At 37.2% G+C, this 21,287-nt stretch overlaps 1 protein-coding gene and 1 pseudogene across 14 annotated transcripts in view; both read right to left on the bottom strand.

The window, feature by feature from the left end:
- Positions 1-21,287, bottom strand: part of PKP4 (plakophilin 4) — a 224,478-nt gene that overhangs the window by 124,855 nt on the left and 78,336 nt on the right. The gene's annotated exons all lie outside the window — the stretch shown is intronic.
- RPL7AP22 (ribosomal protein L7a pseudogene 22) lies at positions 7,301-8,171 on the bottom strand (annotated as a pseudogene).

Raw genomic sequence — 21,287 nt, 5'->3', positions numbered from 1 at the left:
CCTGGGATCAGAAACAAGAATTGGTAAGTACAAGTTAAAAAAAAAAAAAAAGAGAGAAAGAGCCACAATGCTTCATTTATCTATCCGTATTTCTCCATTCTGGATTTTCTATGAGTTCTGTTTTTAAGCTCATTTTTGTCAATATATCTAATTGAGAAAGATACCAAACAAGTCCCAGGTGAGACTGCACCATAGCAACAGGCTTGCCAGGAATTCTTTGGGGAGCAGAATCTCAGAGAAGTATTTGATTGCCTCTTCACACTCTTGATTACAACACACCGAGCTGTTAAACTAAATTGTAAGCCATTAGTGTACTGAATGAACTTTAAAAACTAAACTACCCGATATGAAGATATTTTTCACACATACAATCACACTGAGATGTGTTTGTTTGTAGCCCATTTCCCTCTTATTTAGAAAATAAGGCAGACATCTTTAAGCTATTTCAAAACTTGCCAATGTCACAGTGTAATAATGTGATAAATAAGACATTGCCCTTTATCACTAGTAAATATTGAATCTTGGCTCTAATTCATAAATGTCTTTAATCGTTCACTGTTAATTATGACAGAATATAAATGCCCTGTCCTTAGAATTTGATCAAGAGTTTTAAAGTATCTTGAGTTAGATCAGCAGTGACCAAAATAAGCAAGCTATGGAAAAAACCAAGCTCAGTCTCAGAGTAGATTATACTTGGACTTGGCCTATTAACTCAGCTGGGATGGTATTTTGAGAACAAACAAAAAAATAGGCCACAGAAGAAAAAACCAGTTTATGTCTGTGGGTTGTACAACTCAAACTGTCAGCCACCCTACGAATTATATCATGATCAAAAGTGAGACCAGGTGAGGATACAGGTGGCATGGACAAAACCCATGACAATCAGAAAATCAACCAAAGGCAAATCCAGATGAGTGTGAAGTACTATTACCATCCATCTTCACATCCAAATACAAGACATTTAACAAACATTTCCCACACTTGGGTATAAATTGTGTTGCAGGCAGTAAAACATTTCAGAAATATTTAAATCAAAGAACAGAGAAGCATTTATGTAAGGCTATTTTTATACAACCAATTCTTAGTTATTGATGCTAATAGAGCTATCCAGTGGTGTGTGTCTACTCCAAATTATTTACACTTATATTTGTAGTGCAGAGTATGATGTTTCTGTAGCAGATCTAATTACATTTTGCTTTATTATTAAGATGAGCTAACATTTCTTTAATATACACATGTATGGGAAAGGTGGTGTCCCTAAAGCCTGCTAGGCAGGAGAATAGCTGGCTCACAATTACAAAGACACCACAGACAGGCTTCAGAGAAAAAGAACGGACTGAACAACTCAAACCTTAATTACTTTATAAGCACTCATAATTTACATAAGACTGGTACAGGTCACTAGGGATTGGTACAGATCATTTTTGCTGATGTTGCATGTTGCCTTCTTAGGAGCCTGGGAAGCTTCCTCAACTACCTGGAGAACAATTAGAAAATATCATTTCACTAAATAAAACATGTACTAATGTTTAAACATGGCTTTTAAGAAGAGATATATTCTTTGGAAGCTATTCATATTAGAATATTCAGGATTATTTAAACAAGTAAATAGCAAATAATCATAACAGAAACATGCACTGTGCAAGTATTATGTAGTGGACCCCTGCTGTTCTTGCTACCTAACATCTTTGTACCTTTCTTCTAGGTGTGGCATTTTGATTTTTATCTAAAGAAACTACCTTCCCTATTCTTGGGCCGTAAGAGTTTGGTATATTAAGAGTAGGGTTGCTTGAGGTATAGAGAAAGTGGCAAGACCAATGGATAGCAATTTTTGATGAAGAATCATTTCTGGCAGGGCGCAGTGGCTCACGCCTGCAATCCCAGCACTTTGGGAGGCTGACGCAGGCGGATCACGAGGTCAGGAGATCGAGACCATCCTGGCTAACACAGTGAAACCCCGTCTTTACTAAAAATACAAAAAATTAGCCTGGCATGGTGGCGGGCACCTGTAGTCCCAGCTACTCGGGAGGCTGAGACAGGAGAATGGTGTGAACCTGGAAGGCGGAGCTTGCAGTGAGCCAAGATTGCACCACTGCACTCCAGCCTGGGCAACAGAGCTAGACTCCGTCTCAAAAAAAAAAAAAATAATAATAATAATTATTTCTGAGTGAATACTAAGAAAGTGAACTGAAGGACAGGAGTTTGTGGCCTAAGAATATAATGTCTAAAGGAAATGCAAGATGAGAAAGCCAAGGGACTGCCCTACCAGAGCCTGGATGGGCTGTCTAGGTAGATACTGAAGTCACCTGGAGACCCACAGCAGGAGGTGAACTGGAGAAGGTGGCCATGAGCTGAATCTTCAGCGAATGACAGTGAGTGCCAGAAGGCTACTGAATGTCAGGAGAGAGGAGGAAGCATGGTAAAGCCAGGCATGGAAGTCTCAAAGGAGCCAGGGACGTGTAAAGGCAGGCAACAACCGGGGGGCAAGGAGAATGCTGACCCCACCTACTTAGCTTGAGAACACAGAGGGCAGGAGAATAACCAGATGTTAAAGAAATAAATTCATGTCTGTCCCATGTCCCAAATACATGCAACCCATTCCAACATCTCCAAAAGTCTCAAACCATTACAGCATCAACTAGAAGGGTCAAATCTCACATAAATTTCATCACTCAAAAATCCCAAATCTCATCATCTAAACATCCAAATCAGGTACAGGGGAGACTTGAGTATAATACATCCTGGAGCAAAATTCTTCTCCAACTATTGATTCTGTGAAGCTAAAAGATAAGTTATCTGCTTCCAAAATACAGTGGTGGGATAGACATAGGATAATAGTTATGACACTCCCATTCCAAAAGGAAAAAAAAATGTAAAGAATAAAGGAGCCACCTTTCCCAAATAATTTCAAAACCCAGCGGGACAAGGTTTAAAGTCTGAGACTATGACTCTAGGCCAAAGCTGTATCCTTGAAGTCATTTTTCCTTTTCTTTAAGGGGACCACATATTTGCAACTGAGCACTGTTTTGACAAGCCTGTACAGTTTGGGAAGTCTAACAGCTTTCCTATATTTCAACCTGTCTCTGTCCTTTTCAGTTCAAGCTGGCAGCATTTTTGCTGATACAACATTTTCAAAAAACTTGTGGGTTTCCTGTGTATTTGTGCCATTAAACAAGTGGGTCATCCACAGATCTTCCCTGGAAAATTTCATCTCCACTCCTGATTTCTGCGGAGTCACATGCCTGATATCTTCAGCACTAGTCAAAGGTTATCTACATCCTTGGCGTTCTCTCTAGAGCACTTTCCTAAAAGTGAATCTCCTAATTTTACCATTTTTTGCAACCTGGATAGGCTGAGAATTTTCCAAATTATCAAACTGTGATTCATTTTTGCTTGAGAGGTTTCCCCTTGATTTGTTTTTCCTCTCACATTTTGTTATTAGCAGCAAGAAGAAACCAGGCTGTACCTTCTACGCTCTGCTTGGAAATCTCTTTACCTAAATATCCAAGTCCATCATTTACATGCTTTCTACAGGACTGGGAGAGACAATTCAGCTAAGTTTTCTACCAGTATTGGCATATCTTGTTTCACTGCACTTCGCTTCATTACTCTCTGTGGCTATCGCATCTTTTACAAATTGAAGGTCTGTGGAAACCCTGAGTTGAGCAAGTCTACTGGCACATTTTTTTCCAACAATATGTGCTTATTTCACTAGCATTTTTAGCAATACAGTTTTAAATTAAGGCATGTACATTGGTTTTTAGACATAACGCATGTACATTGGTTTTTAGACATAAGGTAATAGACTACAGTATAGTGTAAACATAACTTTTATGTGCACTGGGAAACCAAAAAAATTTATGTCTCACTTTATTGGAATATTAGCTTTATTGCGGTGGTCTAGTACTGAACCAGTATCACCAAGGTATGCCTGTAAATATTAAGAATCACCTTTCTTTCCTCTAGTTTCCAATTACGTATTCCTCATTTCCTTCTGAGCTCTCACCAGAACCACCTTTAATACCCACATTTCTACCAACGTTTTGTTTAAAGCAATCTAGGCTTTCCCTATCATGGGGCTAAAAATTATTCCAGACTCTACCCATTATCCAATTCCACAGCAATTCCACATTTTTAGGTATTTGTTACAGCAGACTCCCCTTCCTGATGCCAAACTCTGTAGTAGCATCCTATGGCTGCTATAACGAATCACCACAAACCTGGTGGAATAGAACAACAAAAATTTATTCTCACAGTTCTAGAAACCAGAAATCAGAAATCATTTTCACTGGGCCGAAATCAAGGTGTAAGCTGGGACGTACTCATTCCAGAGGCTGTAGGGAAAAACCTCTTCTTTGCCCCTTACAGGCTCTGGGGACAGCTGGCATTCCCTGGCTTGCAGCCACATCACTCCAATCCCTGCCTCCACCTTCACAGAGCCTTCTCGTGTGTCTCTCTCTGCCTCTCTCATAGACAGATACTTGTGATGGCATTTAGAACTCACCTGGATAATCCAGGATAATCTCCCCATCTCATGATTTTTTAACTTATTTACACCCATAAAGTTTTGAAATAAGATAACGTTTATAGGCTCCAAGCGTTGGGATAATAAATCTCTGGGGAGGAGAGCATTATTCTGCCTCCCACAATCAGTTTAGAGAGACAGCATATTAATTTATAATAAGACTATCCTGTCTATAAAAAAGTTATAGTTGTTTCAAAATTACTACTTAATATTGCAAAAGCTGCAAAATTACTTTTCTGAAGCTAATATGTAAATGTGAGATACTTATTTTGATTTTTTCACTTACGAATAAGTATAATTAACTTTTAAACATAATTTTAAAAATGAGGTTGATGGTACAGCTAAGTAGAATAAGTACTGGTAAATTAGCAAATATAAATAGTTGCAAAGATTTAAAAAATACTTCTGCATAAAGTAAAAATATTTTAGAAACAGATATGCCTTTATTTTAGAAATTACTCTTTAGGAAAATACTATTTTCCCTTAGGAGTTAGAGTAAATAAATGGCTGTTATCTCTTTTAACTCTTGGTTATGTTTCAGTCTTTAGGTTGAGGAAGGGCGAGGGTGATTGAATACCAGAAGGGGGAATGCTAACTGAGATGGTTTTAGTAGAGCAACAGGCAGCTAAGTTTCTGTCAATATGATCAATTACCTTGGGAATCGCTTCACAGTCTAGCAACTGGCACCCCCACTTGCACTGTCCACTACAGGGAAGAGGGAAGATTCAGAGAAGCAATGGTAATGCTAATTAATGTTTTTTTCTCTAACAACCTAGAGGCAAACAGTTTGGGGTTTTCTGTCTAGAGCTTTAATGGCCAAATAAAACTGTGTGCCTATTTAATAGCTCTAATTACTTTTATAAAGTTGACCCAAAGACCACAGGTCTGATAGGATTCTTACTATTCTTTTCCACGTAAGCCTAAAAGCAAATCAGAGTTACATTACAGAATAATAATTAATACTTAATAGTGAAAATAATAATGACAACTAAGTAACTGTATTTGTAAAATCTTATTCTAAAAATGGTGATTCATGCATAGTAATTTGAATATATGGTCACATATTTTATATTAAAAAACATAAATAACACAGCAAGGCAATGTAGTCTTCTTTCTCTGTTATGTGTATCTTTAAAAGGCCAGGTTGCCTAGGTTGTAAATTCCCGGAAGGGCACCACATTTGTTTCCCAGACATTTATAAGCTTTCTCTCAAATTATTCATTTTGTAATTCTAAACTAACAATAAATATTACTTCGTAAATGTACCTAAATCAATAAATGTCCAATCCTGCACAAATGTAAAATCCACAGTTTGAGAACTTGAGTGATAAAAAGTTTCAAACACTGTTTCTCACTGGGACATAGAATTGCAGGAATTCTCCATTAAGTCTGAGAAGTAGACAGGCCCCACCAGTCTATCAGAACAGACAGTGTCTTACATTAACATGATCCCAAGTTGCCACCTTTGCTGAGAGTGCAGCCAAACAGCAGGACTAGAAATCACACCCCATCAGGGAGTCAGCCCTGGTGGTAAAGTGCTTGTTGGGTCACACTGTTTGTCCAAGGACTCACAACCACCGTTTGAAAACTGCTTTACAGAACATTTTCTGGGGTGATGAAAATGTTGTATATATTGATTATGGTTACATGACTACATTCATTTGTCAAAACTCATTAAATTTTATTTTACATAAATTATACCTCAGTAAGCTTGCCTTTAAAAACATTAACACACATGTCCATATTTTCTTTTTATTAAGTTATGACTTTGTAAGCTATAAGTGACATTCTTACAACTCTGGCAAAATACTGCTATAGATTCATTCATGAATCCACTTTGATACACATTACAAATAGACTTCTGTGTTTGAAGCAACATTTTTCCACATTAATAGATTGTTTAACTTCTTCTTGGCAGAAAAGTAATGTTTTATTCTGAGAGATCTATAAATGTAACCTTCTTTAGAGAGCAGAGCCATAGATGGAGCCTCAGGAGAGTGAGATTTTGATCTTCCGTCTGTGCCTGACCCTCCTATGTTGGACAATACTACTCCCATTAGCGACACTGCTATGAGATAAAATATTACTTACATTAGGTTGAATAATTTTAAAACTACAACCATGCATTTATTAGGCATAATCTTAAGTAGTTTTCACAACCTAAATGTTTTGTTTCTGTAAATTCACAGAATTTAAGCAATAATGGAAAAAAACATGTTTTATGAAAATAAACTACTATCCCTTCAATAAAATCATCGGAATTAAATCAAGAAAACTTTTTAAACTTTTGTGAATAAATGCAAAATATGAGTGTTGGAATATTAATGACCCTTTCCATACTGGTCAACACGGAAGATTAAAATACTGGGCTATTCAGTTGAATCAATCTTTACCTCCTCCCTCTGCTTATTAAAATATTATAAGAAAAAAAGTTCTCTGTTTTGAATTCCAAGCAGAGGGGCAATGGCACCTAACCACCTGCAGGCCCAGCAGCCCTTAGTGTGTGGAATAGCAAAGGGTGGGGAAAGAGGTCTAAATCTAGGGGTGGCGGTGGGAAGGAACATATTCAACCAAAGCACTCGTCCCTCACAGGGGCGTAGGTGAAGGGCCACTAAACGATTTCCCAAAAACTCTGAAAAATATTATAAATAAAATTTAAAAGGATTAAAAAGCAGACTACACTGACTCAAGCCTATTTTTTAGACATGAAATAAAATATGATCCACCCCTGTAAAAGTACCATTCTGATAATACTGAAAACTTAATTTATTTTTGGAAGGAGAATTTTTGTTATTTTTATGTGCAGAAAACTCAACCGTGTACATTTAACCCAGTTTAGTGGCAAGTCCTTTAGCGTTTGCCCTTTCCAGCTTGGCAAAGCAAGCCACAGACTTGGAACCCAGGACACTGCCTCCCCAGTGATGGCGGATCTCATCATATCTATCATTGTAATTGGTCCTGATAGTTTCCACCAGCTAACCGAAGCTCCTTTGTCTTCCAAGTTAACCTGTGTGAAGGCAACAGTGGTGCAGGGTCTTCCTATGCACAGACATCCCAGGCTTGCCTTCCCCTTGATAATGCAGTCAAGGACCCCCATTTTAGGACATAAGGCAAGCAGGAAGACAACTGGCTCAATGGGATCCATGTCATGTGCGATCACCACCAGCTGAGCCTTCTTGTTCTCCAAAGGTGGTGACAATGTTAACCCCTACTCGAAGGACAGGTGGTCTCTTAATGGGGATGTTCCCTTTGCTGGCAGCTTTCTTCTCAGCCCAGGCCAAGTCTCTGCTTCTTCTCTTGCTTTGTCTCTGGTCAGTACTTATGGGCCAGCTTAAGCAGCTGAGTAGCTGCTTGGCGGTCCACGGCCGGGGTGAACTGGTTCATCGCAAGAGGCACTTTCAGCTCTGGATAGAGGACAGCTCTTTGCTGCTGCAACCTGATGTAGTAGCAGGGGCATTTGACAAAGTGGGTTAAGATCCCATTTGGGCTAGATGTCCTATCCAATGCCAAAATTCTCAGGTCTTTTCTCAAACAGGGGATCCATCACTTTCTTGGCCTCCTGCTTCTCTGCAACAACAGGGGCCAGGGCCACCTTCTTCCCCTTGGCCTTCTTTCCTTTTGGCATCTTGGGTGGCTGGAGGAGTGAAACTTAACATTTATGAAGTTGAATAATCTAAAGGAATTTCTTCAGGGTTAACATAAAGAAGCCAAATAAAAATATTAAATTTCTCCACAGGGTTAAAATTTTACTTATGCACAAATTTTGTTTTTTCATAAATATGAGTATAACTGTTCCAATCTTAAAATACTCTTGAAGCATAAGATGTTATTTCCATAATCCTGGTCCTCAAATAGATGAGTCAGGCTTGATTTTATTAAAACTACCAATACAGGCTCCTTATGTTATTTCAGTAAAATTGTTTCCTGTACAGAGTACTCCACAGGCAGTTAATTGTCTGAATCCCTGTCTGCCATTCAAAAGGCTTTATTCTAGTCATAGTGGATTACATTGCACATATTTTTCTCCAATAGAAAAATAAATGTTAAGATGAACAAATCTAAAACAAAATTTTTATATCCAACAGCTTCACCCAGCCTCAGCACAGACTTGAACTCCGGTCTTGAGCCTTGTTGGCCGACTTCACGGAGCTTCACTCCTCGACGCTCAGCCTAATGTGTGGTCTTGTTTCTTTCACTCAGGTGTCTGCTCAAAAATATTTTATGAGTGCCCAATATTAAGCTGCATACTGGAGTTTTGTAAAACAGTGTCTATCCAAGAGTCTGTGCTCTATGGAAGCCGATAATCTAGTTTAAGCCAGGGTCTTACTGTGATTCTTAAAAACATGTTAATGTGTTTTAAAAAGTCAACTTTATTGAGATATAACTTACATGCAATAAAATGCACCCATTTTAAAGGCACAGCGTTAGGGGTTTTACTAAATGTACACAACAACGAGCCACAGCTCCAATTAGATTCAGAATATTTTGGTCATGCCACCACCCCGCAAAATTGCCTTAGCTTCTTTGCAGTACTGCCCCTCCCTTTGTTCCCCAGCAATCATGGACTTGCTTTCTGTTGTTACAGATTAATTCTGCCTGCTCTAAAATTTCTATCAATGGAGTAAATCAGTACGTACTCTTTTATGTTTGGCTTACTTCCTTCACTCAGCAGATTTTTGAGATTCATCCATGGTGCATGTATCAATGGTTGGGTTCTTTTTTCTTGTTGTATGTTATGAATATAATTTATTAATTCACCCAGTGACAGATAATTAAGTGGTTTCTAGTTTGGTGGGTATTTGTGAATAACAGTGCTATGAACATTCTAGACAAGTTTTTGTGTGGACATACTTTTTCTTTTATTCTTAGGTGTGACCCAGGAGAACTGCTGGGCCATAGGGTAAATGTGTTTAACTTTACAAAAAATTATCAAATTGTTTTCCAACATGGTTGTGCCATCTTACACTTACCACTGCCCCCCCATGGCCCAAAAATGTAAAAGTCATCTTAGGTCATAGGTGATACAAAAATAGGTGGTAGACTGAATTTAGACTGTAGGCTATAGTTTGCTCCTTCCTGCTTAAGAATTTTCTATATATACAATAATATCCTTTGTGAAAAACAGAGTTTCACTTTTCCTTTCCAGTGTGTGTACCTTCTACTTCTTATCTTACTGCATAAAAAAGAGGCCTTTTTACTTACTGTAGCCTCTCTGTGAAGCCAATCCTCTGACCTTTTCTTCTCTCAACTTTGAGATTTCAGCATTTCTGCAATGCACCAGGCCTGGTTTCGTACTGTCTCTATGTCTGTAAATCACATCCCCTTGCTCTTTATCCTTAACCTGTGCCCACCTCAAAGATCCCATGCTGTTTTTCTATGCTTATCTTCTATCCTCTGAGCTGCACTGTCTGAGAGGAAATCTTGTTCTCAAAAGTGAAATTAGTTTGAATTTGACACCTCTCTTGGGCTGCCTACTGCTACATTTTTTGGCTCATGCCCTATGGTGCTACTTCTCTCAACCAAAATTTCACGTTTCTTTCCTGTGTACTGAGAAGGACAACCAAACTCCCAAATATCTTGTGATTACTTAAAAAAAGAAGATTTCAAAAGCATCAGGTTTAAATATGCAGTGCTTACTATTTGTGCCATCTAACCATCTTTACCTGGGCATTTCCTGTTTGCAGGCTTCACTCTGAAAGCAGTTACAGAAGAGACAGTTTTCATAATCTTGCAAAGAGAATAAAGCAAAAATCTGAAGAAAAATGACGTTTGAACAAATGGAAACTATATGACAAAATAAATTGGGAAAAGAACATATGGCAAAAGAATCTAAAAAGATTAATATTTGAAATCAGTCTTTTTCATTTTATTTAATACCACTTAAAGTATACTAAAATTCTTTACTTAACTAAAATTCAGTTCAAATAAAACCCAGAACAGATACACAAATTCAGAATACATTTCAGACAGTCAAATACAAAGAATTTAATGGGCAGTATCCAAATGTCAAAAACATATTCTGGGTACTAAAGAGATACCAATTTAATCTGAATTTACATTTCATTTTCTTCAAGATTCAAACCAGCAAGAATAATTCAGTATCTACTACAACCAAAAATATGCTTCCAATTTTGAAATATTTTTAAAAGGCACTGTATATAAACCTTCCTTAAGAGAGGAACTATATGCAAGAGAAATTGAGTCTTAGAAATTACATAACAAAAGTAATCATAATTCTTGGCATTTATGAAAATATTTTACCTTCAAAGAATTTTTACAAACACTAAACTAATTAAATTATGCAATACACATGTGAAATCTCATCATCAGTTTACAATTAGGAATAACTATGGTACCAGGTTTAAATCAAGCATAAACCTAGGGGGTAAATATGCAGTTATATATGGATATAAGAATGAGTAGCTGTAATTATTCATGGATATGATGAAAAGTGACTAGAAACAGGTTTAAATAAGTATAAGATTATGAACTGAATGCAAGTATTATTAGGAAAATCCTAACCTCTGCAACTGCTTAGACTCCCTAATAGCTATGCTCTATCAAAAGTATTAGGCTCATGAGATTTTATTAGTGCTCAACAATATTTAACAAGGGCACCTGACCTTCAGCGGTTTATGACTTAAAAGAACAGATTTATTCATTTCTCAAAATTTTAAAACTTCTCCACCTCCCTTTCTTTCTCGTCCTTATTTCCAAACAAAAGGGAACACTGCTGCTGGTGGGATTACAGAAAGTGCAAAAAGGACAAAGCTAAGGGAACAGGAAAAGGAAACCTTTGTCAAAGAAGGGAGTACAGAGGGAGAGAGTGAAGGCCCAGAATGCCTGGTGAGGAAGCTGAGCCCCCAAAGGGGGAAGTGATGAAAGGCTTCCTCCTGAGCTAACAAAAGCTAATCAAAAGGAATACCCAACTGCCTTGTGCCCAGTGGCTCAAAAAAAAAAAAAAAAAAAAAAAAAAGTGAAAGACTTAGGTTAGGCCTGCTCTCTTTTACACTTTGGACTCAAAAATACAAGTGCTGGATCTCTGGGTGCCCAATGGCACTGTACATTCAGAGGATGGAACCAAATCCTAGTCCTGTGAATGAGAGGCCTTGGAGAATACATAGCTCTAGGTGGGACAGGGGACTTTCATTCATTAAGCTCTAGCTTCCTTAAATATCACTTCATGGCTACTGCTCTGTTTCCACCTGCAGTTAAAAAAGGGCCCTCTTGACACAGTGTTTGTCTTCTGCAGCTCCAACAGATGAGGAACATGAACTCATCCAACACATATGGATAACAGATAAGTTGGAGTAGTGGCAGAGAAACACTCTGCATTTACCAGGTTGAAGAGACAACTGAATGACAGCACAGGATCTTCTGGCTCCTGGTGGGATGTTCAATTCATACCATATTCACCGATCAGTGTAAGAAGCAAATTCATTACCCTTGCTGTCTTTTTTGTGCAGCCTACATATCATCAGAATGAAATTAATACAATATAACGAGGACTTTTCTTGTTGAGCTGGGGGAGGGGAAGATAAGAGAATACTTACGGTGGGGAAAACCAAATTAAAATTTCTAATTTGACAATATTTAGGCCTAAATTACTCTAATTCTTATTTCTTAGTGCATAATGTTATATAATACTTCCCAAAAGGAAATAAGTGTATTTTTACTTTGCTGACTTAAGGATATCCATAACAATGCTTTATAACAGTCCTTTTTACAAAATTGTTTTTGGATTTCTAAGAACCTTTATTTTCATGAGTCTTACGATGCCCCTATGTAATAGGCAGTCAACTAATTGCTCTTATCCCCACTGTCTAACAGGCAGACTGAGGCTTGGAAACACTACCTGGCTGGCTGCCCTGGAGCCACAAAGCTAGGAAGTGATTTTGCTTCACTTAAGCATGGCTCTAGTAAGCCCTGGCAAGAGCACAAGCTCTGTGAGTGGTGGTGGACTAGGGGTGGGGAGGAGAATTCAGGCTGATTGCTTATGAATTGTGTGTGACTATCAACAGCTTTAGCAATCAATTTACACCTCAGTTTCCTCTCATTTCAAATGAGATAATCCTCATAATTCCTGAACCGCAAAGTGATGAGAAATTAAATGAGGTACACATGTCATCACCTGCACAGTGATACCCATAGTAAGTGCTCAGTGAACACTAATTATTATTCTAACAACAAAATTCTACCTTGCTTTTCTGGGTAAGAGTAACCACGTACGGAGAACTACCCTGGTCTCTCAGTGCTCTTCTCCCAAGGGAGTTACGACCTTTTAATGCATTACATTTGAAAACTGGCTACCTTGATCCTTTGCATTACTTAATAATTTTTCATTTCTCTCATCTTTGAGTAAAGAGCTGTTCTGCAGGATTGTAATTTCTGGATATCCAAAGTTTATCCTTCAAATGCCAATTTATTTTCTGATTTCAAATACTACTCTAGTATTATTACTTATTTTCTGACTTATTAACCAGAATATACAGAGCACACACTTTTCTTGATGACTGAAAGCACCACTATGAACATTCACAACTGCATGGAGACACCATTAGCCTCTGGACCTATCTTGCAGTTGTTCTGTCTCTTCCCCCGACATAAGACCATCAGCTGTTGCTGTCACTGTCCCCTAATTTTGATCTTGTGTTTTCCATTTCTTGTTCTTTGGTCCCTTCTCCTCTTTTTAGCCTCTACCACTAATGTAACCAAATGTGCATATCTAAAACACATTCCACAAAAATACAAAGATAACCAAATATATACCTGTTGAGCATTCCTAACCAGAAAACCCAAAATTCAAAATGCTCCAACATTCAGATATTTTGGACTAGAGATGCTCGATTTGTACGTATATTTTGCAAATATTCCAAAAATTTAAAAAAATCTGAACTGAAAGGATATTGTACAGTTCAAGACTATATATTGCCTCACAAAGTTGAAAAAGGTACGAAAACTCATGGCACAAAGAAATTGAGATGAAATGTTCAGTGACCAAAATAACCTGAAAGATTTTTTACTACATTAACCCCAAAATTTGTGATAAGGAACATAGAAAATCTACCACTTATAGAATTAAGTACAATGTCTGATACATAGTAAGTACTCAATAATTGTTAGCTGTTAGTCTCCTATTGGATTTCTATTCCATAGAGATCACTGATTCTCATATCTTACTCACAATTACAATTTTTCTAGATTTGTCATTTGTTTCCTGTTGTGGTAGCAGCAGAAGCAGTAGTAATAGTGGTAGTGGTGGTGGTGGTAGTAGTAGTAAGGAGAACAGAGATAGCAATCTAGCTGCATCAAAAAGCAGCAGGCCCAGTAAAGCAATGAAGGGTCTTTTTTCGCACAATGGCAGACCTGTCAGAGATGATCCATTCTTTGCATTTCTGATCTACTGGTTTTAAAGTAAGAAGAGCACTCTCCAACTCTGACAAAGGTTTTCAGTGGGAAACTGAAGTTTTATCCTAGGTTAAAAAGTTTGCTTTTAAAAAAAAATTATTCAACTAGATAAATTATTCCACATCAGTAAAACACATTTGCCCAGTTCTGTAGTGCAGATCAAATGAGCGAAATGCAACAGCATTCTGTTCAGTACCCATAAATACACAAATATTTTTCATAATCTTACCTACAGGCCTTCAAATCTTCTAATCAATCAGCTTAGAATGTCAACAGCAGCAATCACTAAGATATATTTTTTCACATCATAGTTAAAAAATTTGCTTTTTCATTATTCTTTGCTAACTGAAATAAAATAAAAATCCTGCTGTTAAGAGCTTACATTATAGAAAAATAATATTACTTATCTTATTAAGGAACAAATGAGAAAGTGGGACAATGGGAAATCTCCAGTAAGCAGCATCCCTTCCAATAGTCCTAGACTTAAACCATGGGGTGTATAAGGCAGCTAAGGTTATGAATGAAAAACGGTGTTACTTGACTCTTCAGTTGGGCATAAAGGGCTTACTTTGAAAATAATTAACAGAAGTATTTTCAAAAGAAGAGAAATCATGGCTCATGTCAACTTTGTGATGGAAAGGCATTTCTGAAGGAATACCAGAATACAGAAATACTACATATGGATGAAATAGTAAGAGTTATTAATTCTGCCAGAATAGTTTATTAGAAGGCCATAGGCAGTGGTTAAGACCTTAATCTTGGTTTAGGCTCTTAGAATGATTTGGGGAAAATTTTTAAATGAGATATATGCCTATTAGGGTAGATGATAACTCACGATGAACACTTCACTGATGCCGCGTTGCTTTATAGGAATTTTCATAAGAAAAAGACTACAAGTTAAAACACTAAACAGTCTATAAATTGAAATGCTTTGAACTCCAATTTTTAAAGGAAAAATTAAATTTTCTTTCAAGAGCCACAGAGATTGAAATTCTAAGTATACTTTTAATTTATTATAGCTATTTTCATATTTGAAATATAATTATATAGAATATAATTGCATAGGATGTTATTTGTCTTCAAGTTTCAATAATGTGTTATTTCAATTTGCTTGCAGACTGCTTCTACTTTGTGTAACTCCTACATTATTAAGGTTTGGGTACATAAAAACTCTTAAGATTCTATAAGCTAAGAAATAGATTTGTCTTTGAACTACTGAAAATAACTTTACATTTTAAATGATCTTTCTTAGGAATGCCTGAAATAAAATAGCCATAAACCAAATTACTTTGCTGAGGTACAAGCAGATCTGATCACTTTGGGAACAATACATTCATAAAATATAAACAGATGAAGTGAGACCATATGGACACATTTTTGCAAAGTAACAAAAATGGCAATTTAGAAATTGGGAGCCCTTAAACATGAAGATAGGCACTGGATAGGCTATGTTTTGCAATAGCTACGGAATAACTTTAGGGTTATACCTGAAGGGAAAAACATGTTTCCGAAATATTTTTCTCTCCAGAAGTGATTCTAAAAAGAAAAACGATCATGCAAAGCAGAGAATTCAATGCTGAATAATCCTCTCATCCATTTAATCTCATCAACTCAGCAGTCACTCATTTCAAATTTAACAGCATAAAGTTTGCATATACAGGGGGAAATTATTCCATATATTCATAATTTAACTCTGAAAAGAATTGTAAACTGGATTATTCAACTGAAAAGGAAATTATAATTTTAAAGGTATAAAGTCATGGTTGGCTTTAAGTGTTAACAAAGAAAAATATTCTATCATTTTCAAATGTAAACGAAACAATGCTAATTCAATGGTAAAAATTAAACAAAAATATTCTATTACTTTCAAATGTAAATAAAAGCTAATGGTAATTCAGTGGTAAAAATTAAACCTAAAAATGCCTAAGTTAACAAACTTACATAAAACTGACATAATACATACTGATAGCCTGTTTAAACTAAAAGGGGGCAAAAGTACACACATTCTTGTCTCTTATGCATCAATTAATGAATATTCATAATGTGTCAATTACTCTATATTGAAGTATAAATACGGTTTGTGCCTCTGCATTCTTCTGAGAGTAGAAACTATATGAAATAGGTCAACTTTATATGTCTACTTATCCCCCTCAACCCATTCCTTGACAAAGTGCTTTGCTCAGAGTAGTCTTTAAATAAACATTTTTTAATTAATTAAAAGCAAGCTTAATCTAAGTATGGAGGCACTGTAAACATGTTTACATTTTTAGTTCATTAACTAATAAATATTTTGGGCACCTACTATGTTTTCCATGTTTGAATGTGTGATCCAGTTATGTGTGAACAGCCACATGGAGTCTGTTCAAGTTCATAGAACAGTCTTTCAAACAAACCCCTCAGTGTCAATACAACCTAAAATGATGCTTCCGATGAAATCAAAGAGAACAAATACTAAGTTATTCTGAATATATAGTTGAGGACATATAAGACTGGAAGCTTTGCTAGCAGTTCCATCTGATCATTCATCAGACTATCGGAAAATGTAGGCAGGTAGCCAAATGCATATGCTTGTTGTTAGCTACCTCTTGGCAGTCTAATTTTTTGATGTTGAGAAGGACAACTTCTTTGAGGAGTGGGCAGTACTCAAATACTGAATAAACCTGTTGGCCATACTCTGTAGTATTCTTTAATCACAGGGACGCTTGAGGTGGAGGACACCCTGCATCGTTAACAAAATGAAGGGAAATGTTAAATTCTGACCATGGTACATGCAACTTAAGAGGACTGATCTCCTGAGAGCCATTTTAGAGTTCAGAATTCTTGAATACAAGCCAAACAGTGTCACAAGGCTCTGCCATTTGTCCTCATTTTGAACCTCATTTTTATAATATTATGGAGATAAAGCTGTAAAATTTGATGATCCCTCAAAAACCACTGAGATCCAATCTTATCTTGGGTTAGATGCTGCAGTTCAGGCACTGAAAACTTCACTGTGGGTTACACGGTAACAATAACTGCCAGGATAATTCAGTTACCAATTGGAAAAATAACTAAGTTGCCAATTGGAAAAATCAGAAGTTTCAGGCATTGTACTTACAGCACAAGACTTCTAGTTAAGTGACAAACTATGCTTGTTTACAGCTGAAATAAAAATTCTCTCTTCTGCATGTGGCTGAGGTGTGTCAGAGAGGACTATTTCATTGAAAATAAGCATAGGGGCCAAACAAAAGGAAGTTACAAAGGCAGGTGTGTAACAGCTGAGTTGTTTCAGTTCCAGAGGAATAAAGTAAATAATTGTACTGGAATTTGTTCACTTCTGGGCATTTTGCCATACAGGAAGGGTGTGTAATTACTGAAGCTAAGATATCTATGTAAAAATGAAGTAACATCAATAGGACACAGTTGGGCTTCAGATTTTCTTATTTTATCTTCAAAAAATTAAGGATCTCTGGCTCTCATTTCACTCTTTGATATTTAAATATCACTTAAGTTAATAAGGACATACTGAAGATAGAATGGTTATTTTCACAAAAGCCAGAAAATATATTGAAAGTGGTATTCTCTTTAAGAGCCACACAGATGAGGAACATTGCAATTTTCACTCATCAAAGATAACAAAAGAAGCATACACTATCTAACTTGAGACCTCACCAGAGTAAAAAGAGTGCATATAAAATTAGCATATTTTACCAAATCTATTCTTTGCTTACCAGTTCATGCTATCTGGATTGGCCTCAACCTTAAATCTAGATTCTAAGCTTCTGAAATCATTAACCAAAAATATAAGAATGCGGTTTGTGGGCCAGGTGTGGTGGCTCACACCTGTAATCCCAGCACTTTGGGAGGCCAAGGTGGGCAGATCACCTGAGGTCAGGAGTTTGAGACCAGTCTGGCCAACATGGAGAAACCTCGTCTCTACTAAAAATACAAAAATTAACTGGGTGTAGTGGCAGACACCTGTAATCTCAGCTACTCTTGGGAGGCTGAGGCAGAAGAGTTGCTTGAACCCAGAAGGCGGAGGTTGCAGTGAGCCAAGATCGCACCACTGCACTCCAGCCTGGATGACAGAGCGAGAGTCTGTCTCAAAAAAAAAAAAAAAAAAAAAAAGTGGTTAGAGAGCCTGAAAAGTATGACCAAGTTCAAATAGAGATCTCAATTATTCAAGCAACTTTATGACAGAAGATGAACAACTCTAATGAATATTACATGTGCAATTCTACAAAACCAGAAATCAACTTGCAAAGATACTTGTGAAAGATACTTGCAAATCCTAGCCATGATTGGCCATATTGTTCTCTTTTAAAGAGTGTTTCTAAAACCAAGAGATCATATTGGAATCATTATAAAACTACAATGTATTCTACCACTTGATAATAATACCCTGCACATGATGCTTGGCTCACTGTTTCCTTGTGCCTGTGAGTGAGCATTCTGACCCATCTAAGTAAGTTGCAGAGGGCAGCAGCAAGGCTCTGGATAAGCAGCGAATGTCTTATCAAATTCCAATTTCTCTGCATCCAAGGGTGTGCTGTGCATTTCAATGACAAATCAATCAGTTTAATCTAAGGTTTCCACAGGAAGAGGCAGGATCCTTTGAGGGCACCACATTTTTCTTTCTTTTTTTGGAGACAGGTTCTTGCTCTGTCACCCAGGCTGGAGTGCAGTGGCATGATCACGGCTTACTGCAGCCTTGACCTCCCAGACTCAAGTGATTCTCCTGAGTAGCTGGGACCACAGGCGCACACCATCACACCTGGCCAATTTTTTGTATTTTTTGTAGAGACAGGGTTTTTGTCATGTTGCCCAGGCTGGCCTTGAACTCCTGAGCTCAAGCCATCTGCCCACCTCAGCCTCCCAAAGTGCTAGGATTACAGGCATGAACCACCATGCCCAGCGCTGTATTTATCTAGTTATTACAACTAAGAGAGTAAGCTAGGCACTAACCAGTATCAAGTTTGTCAGACATTTTTGAAAACTATTAGGAGATTCCTCCTTTCCTACATCTGTATTCATCATGGACTCCTGGATTCTTATTAGGAGTTGAGCTGAACAGTAGAATCTGCTAAAGGATGATCCTAATTACAGCCAGGTGGTGGCTGAAGTTCTGATACTTCCTGTAATTTCAGAATCACATTACTTTGTTATTCCCATGGATTGACTTTTTATTTCTCTTAAAGCATAATTCTTAACATTTCTTTAGTAGTTACCCGTATCACCTGATACACATAACACTGGTGGATATTTTGTGACATCACCAAGATAACCACATCCTTTTATTCCCTAAACTTAACTTTCGACTAAATTGGACAGACGGGAGATGAAAGTTATGACACCTATGTCATTATTTGACCATAGATATGAAATAAAATTTTATTTTGTACTATGCAAAGATTGAATTTAAATCCTTTATCAATATGGATATAGTGCAATTCAAATTGTCTTAAGAAGGTTTGGCTGAGTGACAAGTTTTCTAGGTGCTGTGAGACTCTCTTGCTCACAATGTTTCTGTGAACGTGGCTACAGGTTCTGTTATCTTAATAAAACCGCAAGTTGGTGACAAAGTAATCGACAGTAAGTATTATCTATTCATTCCCTGCTCGAACAACCATTTATTGCAGGTCTAATATATCCAAGGTGCTGGGAGAGGAGCAACCTGTAACACAGGTATAAAACAAGGCCTAAAACACGGCTCTATCCTCAGGTAACTGATTATATAAATCCAAAGAAGCATACTATTAAGAGTCATGGCAGTAGTATAAAGTGCTAAAAGAGATCAGGAGAGAGATTTGACTTCAGGCTGGGTATGTTTCATCAAAAACGCAGCGTTTGAACACAAGTAGCAAAGATTCTTTCTGTCAAGGAGCAAGGATTTTTCTGTACCTTCGCAGGTACGCATCCACATGACTGATACCACTGTGAGAGGTTATCACTTCATAAAAGACATTGTAAATTCTAGCATTATGCCAAAGAACAAGGAACAGCTAGCTTCTGGCACTGGAGGATTCTAGGGAAAGCATAGCCCAGTGAAGAAAGATTTCACTGTTTTATGACACTCTATGTCCAATTTCAGATATTTAATAGACTAACGGTTTGTTAACAAGACTGCTATTGGTTGCTTGCCATTTCCTTTCCTACCACTTACCATGAATTGCCCAAGGGGAGTATGTGTGAGGTATTTTACTGGCTTAGATATACTCTACTGAAGAACCCAGACTTTTCCTCTCAAAATTCAGGTTAATTTTATAAGATACTACTTTGCAATTCCTTAACCAAGTGCCTTGACATTATGTTTGGGGTTGCAATAAATTAGCATGTTCATAAAACTTATTTTTATATGCTCTTTCTCATAACATATACATAAAATTGTATGTTTATGTATACAGTTTTTGTGAGATCAATATGAAGTTTTTAAAGTTTAGTGTCTGCATAAGTAAACTACTGTCACAGCATAAACAGTGCTCAATATTCAAAGTTTGTCTTCTGCTATCAATGTCCAAAAAAAGGGCTCACTGAATCTTTAGTATGGTTACAAGTAGAACCACTAGCTCCTCCTAAGAGGAGCCTTTTCTTCTTATGCAGAAATGATGATGACAATCGTAATGTTAGCCCTTACTAAGTGCCAGGTACTGTTGTAAGCATTTTACCTATGTTAATTTAAGGTCCTCACTATTATTACCTGCATCTTATAAATGAGCAAACTGAGAACAGAAAGGTTAAGAAATCTTTCCAAGGTCACATGGTTAAAAGAGAAAACAGAATTTTATGTACCCAGTTGCATTGATAGGGTCCCTTCCTTTTGTGACCTAAGGAAATATCATTCCTAAGACACAGCTGCCACTAAGCAAGTTCTGTTATTTGAGATCACAGAGTGGATACCATTACGGCATGGCAGTGACGCTTTTTAAAAAAATAATAATTATGGGCCAGGTACACTGGCTCACACTTATAATCCTCACACTTTAGAGAGGCTGAGGCAGGAGGACTGCATGCGGCCAGGAGTTCAAGACCAGTCTAGGCAAGGTAGTGAGACCCCCATCTCTACAAAAAAATATTAAAAACTAAAAATTAGCTGGGCACGGTAGCACACACCTGTAGTCCTAGCTACTAGGGAGGCTGAGGTGGGAGGATTGCTTGAGCCCAGGAGTTTGAAGCTGCAGTGAGCTAAGAAGGTGACACTGTACTCCATCCTGGGCAACAGAGCAAGACCCCAGCTCTAAAAAGTAATAATAATTATGCATCCCATTTAAGAATATTGCTCTTTTGGATATAAAACATGACCAACATTTATTGCAATTGCATGTAACAGTGGGCTAAGAGTGTCACACTCTGACCAGTAAATTTTAAAATCAAACAT

Source organism: Homo sapiens, chromosome 2 (genome assembly GCF_000001405.40).
Source record: "Homo sapiens chromosome 2, GRCh38.p14 Primary Assembly".
Classification (NCBI taxonomy): Eukaryota; Metazoa; Chordata; class Mammalia; order Primates; family Hominidae; genus Homo; species Homo sapiens.
The sequence above is the reverse complement of the archived record's forward strand: the minus strand, read 5'-3'. Positions and strand labels throughout refer to the sequence as shown.